We start from the raw sequence: 3,945 nt of genomic DNA, 5'->3' as shown, positions 1-3,945 counted from the left end.
TTCTAAATTGTGTTTTCCTTAAAAGTTTGTGCTAAAAATTATTTCACATTTATTTGCACATTTTATATAAACGATGCATGTGAATTAAATTGTAGAAATTTATTTCTGTGTGAATTAAGTGATAAAATATCGTGTAGAATTAGAAAAATATTTACTGCAACCAAGCATGAGATTTTGCCTACCTAGGAGAATAAGGAGTCTCCAAATTCATGAAAATGCTATGCCCCTGGAATCAGACTGCCTGGATTTGATTCTTGGCCTCTCTACTTACCCTTGTGACTTTAGGTAAGTTACTTACCTTCTTGGTGCCTGCTCTTTATAGATAGTAACAGTAATGACCTCATGTATTTCTGTTGTGCAGTCTAAATCAGATGACACCTAGCAGAATGCTTGGCACATACTAAAGGCTCAGTAAATTTTAGCTTTGCTGATGCTAATTCTCTGTCCAGGGGTCCAGCTATTGAGAAGGGGTCCACTAGATGGTCAGCAAACCTAATCAATTTCTCAGACTCTACATCTTAGCATAGTTTGGGGTGTTTTTTTTTTTGCAATTACTATGCAATCTCATTCAATCAACACAGGCATTTACTTTCTCCTTTCTATAAATAAGGCAAATAAGCAAATTATGTATTAGAGACAGAGGTAGCTAGAGCCATAGGAAAGAAAAAGGGATCCAGACAGGAGAGAGACAGACAGAGTGAAGTGGAGATAAACAGCAATAAATGACAGATTATAAGATGGTTGGAGGATTGATAGATGGATAGATAGATGGATGATAGAGAGATGACAGACAGATAGATTATATAATTTGTGTTAAGATTCTATTTAAAATGTGACTGTGAATTTCCTGGGTAAAAAGGATTAGAAAATAAAGAACATGTTAACTTAATGAAAATAATGTTGATACATTTAAAATTTACACCGAAACATAAATGATTAATATGAAAACTTGTCTCACATACACAGGAGAACAGAACATACAGTTGAGAAGGCTATTTCTGCTTCTAATTTGCACAGCAGTACAATATGATATTAGTTGACTAATTATATTCCCTTTTCACTTAGACATTTAAATAGCCATGATTCAATAAACTATTATTTCAACTATGGAAAATGAAATTCATTGTGGGAGATCTCTCTCCTCCTCCCTTACTCTTTTACTCCCTCCCTTCCTCTTGTACTCCCTCCCTTCCTTTATTTATTAGTTACTTCTATGCACAACTTAGCAGTAGCTTAACAGCAAAACAGTTTAAACTAATATTTACCCAGGAACGTGATACTGGCTTCAATATTCCCAGCGCATTAGACTTTTTGAAAAGATAATAAAAAGTATCATTTTTAATTTAAAAAAATGAAGATAAAATTTCCATAGGAATAAAAATATTAAAACGCAATATGAAATGTAGCTTTGAATTAATTAGAATAATTATGTGCATAAGGTAAAAACAGAAATTTTACTCCTTCAGGATCTGAAAGATGGCAAATGTTTTACAATATTTTGAGAAGTATTTGCTTTCCTAATAGCCCCATTTACTCTCTTTATAATTTCCTTATAAATTGGAGATAGTCTGAATGATAAAACAAAATGCGTTACTTAGAAGTCCATTCCTAGATAAACTATGTTCACCCTTACTTAATAACTCTTACTGTGTTTTATACTTTCTCCATGTACCTTTCAATTTTCCCTCATCATCGGGTTGTCAGGTCATAAAAGAAATTGACCATACCTTATTCATGACTGTGACTTTCAAGCCTAGCCTTCTGTCTCCTACATAGTTGATGATCTACATATTTAAATAAATGTATGAAGAGGATGATGATTAAAGTATATGAGGAAACTTCATCTGTCTTTGATCATAAAGATACCAACAATTATAGGACTTGGTTGAGAAAGATCCAGAAGTCAGGATGATTTCACTGCCAAGAGAAAATATTTAAGTCAGAACTAATTTCTACAAATAATTTTATGAAATGGTCAGATAAGTTTCAAGTAATGGAAATGAGTGACATCTGTGAAACTTGGACCTATACTTTCAGCGCATATGAAAATGCCAGTCCAAGGGAGCACACTCTACTAAGACACCTGCCAGACCAGGAAAAGCAACTCTCTTGCCATTCATTCATATATTTATGTGGTAAACTTGTACTGAGTGCTAACTAGAGTGTCAAATGCATGTAGTGTCAAAAATTCTTCCAAAACGAGTTTTATAATCAACAAAATAAAGCAGGAAATGAATATCTGCCAAAAAAAAGAGAATGTAAGGCATTAAATATGTGCACAGGATGCAAAAGACACAATGGAAAGAATCATCATTTTTACCAGGGTTTGAGTAAAGGAATTGGACAATGTAGTCTTTAAATTACTGGGGCAGCCTTCAGAGTACAAACACCTAACACAATGGAAAGAATTATCATTTGTACCTGGGTTTGAGTAAAAAAAATTGGACAACGTTGTCTTTAAATTACTGGGGCAACCTTCAGAGTACAAACTCCTGGATATTCTGAATGAATGAAGCATCCACTCCATCAGAACAATTACATTTCAGGTAAAAATGACCAAAGTGAAAGTGACTTTTGTCCATCAAGAAGACAAAGTATCTTCGGAATCTGAAGTCATGAAAAGGAACCTGGCATCAAAATCCTGGACCTGCAAACCAAATTGTGAGCATTGTTTTGTTCTTCCTGGGCCTCTGAACATATTTTCAATTTCCTAAACAAATCAATCCTAACAAGACCACCTGCTATAAAATGTTGGAGCCAGAACTGAGATATACAGTGATGAACTTTCCAGAATAGTTTATTTTGCTGAATATCCATCAGTGGCATGCTAGAGCCACTTGCTTGTTAAAATTTCAGGAATTTTGTAAGCACTTGCTAAGTTAAATAAATAAACAAAACTCTGCTGGGCGTGATGGCTCAAGCCTGGAATCCCAGCACTTTGAGAGGCTGAGGCCAGAGGATCATGAGGTCAGGAGATCAAGACCATCTTGGCCAAGATGATGAAACCACGTCTCTACTAAAAGTACAAAAATTAGCTGGGTGTGGTGGCGTGTACCTGTAATCCCAGCTACTACCCGGGAGGCTGAGGCACAAGAATCGCTTGAACCCAGGAGGCGGAGGTTGCAGTGAGCAGAGATCGCGACACTGTACTCCAGCCTGGAGACAGAGTGAGACTCTGTCTCAAAATAAATAAATACATAAAATAAAAATAAGTAAGTAAATTAATAAACAAACAAAACTCAAAACTCCTCAGGTTCTCGTTATTTTAGTACATTTTGTTATCAACTGTGCCCTTGAGCTTATTTCTGCTATTGTATTTGTTTGTTGGAAAAACTACATGATGGTGTGCTACTACACATTGTTAGTGTGATCACATTGTTAGTTTGAAATCAGCCATTGGAGGAATACTAGCACCATGGAAATTGTCAAATGCTACAAATCAAGGCTTGATTTGTTGTTCATTTGATTGGCTGGGCTTTAAAAAATGTTGGATAAAATCTTTATAATGCAGATTAAACTTAAAAGTGCATATGCCTCTAGCCATTACATTAAGAATACCAAAAAAGTCCAAGAAAATTCCCTTCCAATGGTCTCTAAAATTATTAACCAATTCAGCAAAGAAGTTACTCACATTGAAGATCTAATAAAGTTCCAACATATAGTTTTATTGTTTCACTTTTGTCTTAGCAATGTAAATGAAATATTAAACAATATTTATATAAAAATTGCGCTCATTTGTCAGCTATAACCATAGTTTTGTTATAGATACAAGAGTCAGCAAAAATCAATAAAAATATTCTGAAAAAAAGTCAATTGGTTATAGGAAATGTATAACAGAATATTATAAATTTATTTTTTATAAATTGTGAGCTACATGTCCTTATATCAGTAAAAACTATAAATATATATACAAACATATATATATTCTGTCTATATAATTTATAT

Source organism: Homo sapiens, chromosome 3 (genome assembly GCF_000001405.40).
Source record: "Homo sapiens chromosome 3, GRCh38.p14 Primary Assembly".
NCBI classification, from domain to species: Eukaryota; Metazoa; Chordata; class Mammalia; order Primates; family Hominidae; genus Homo; species Homo sapiens.
The sequence above is the reverse complement of the archived record's forward strand: the minus strand, read 5'-3'. Positions refer to the sequence as shown.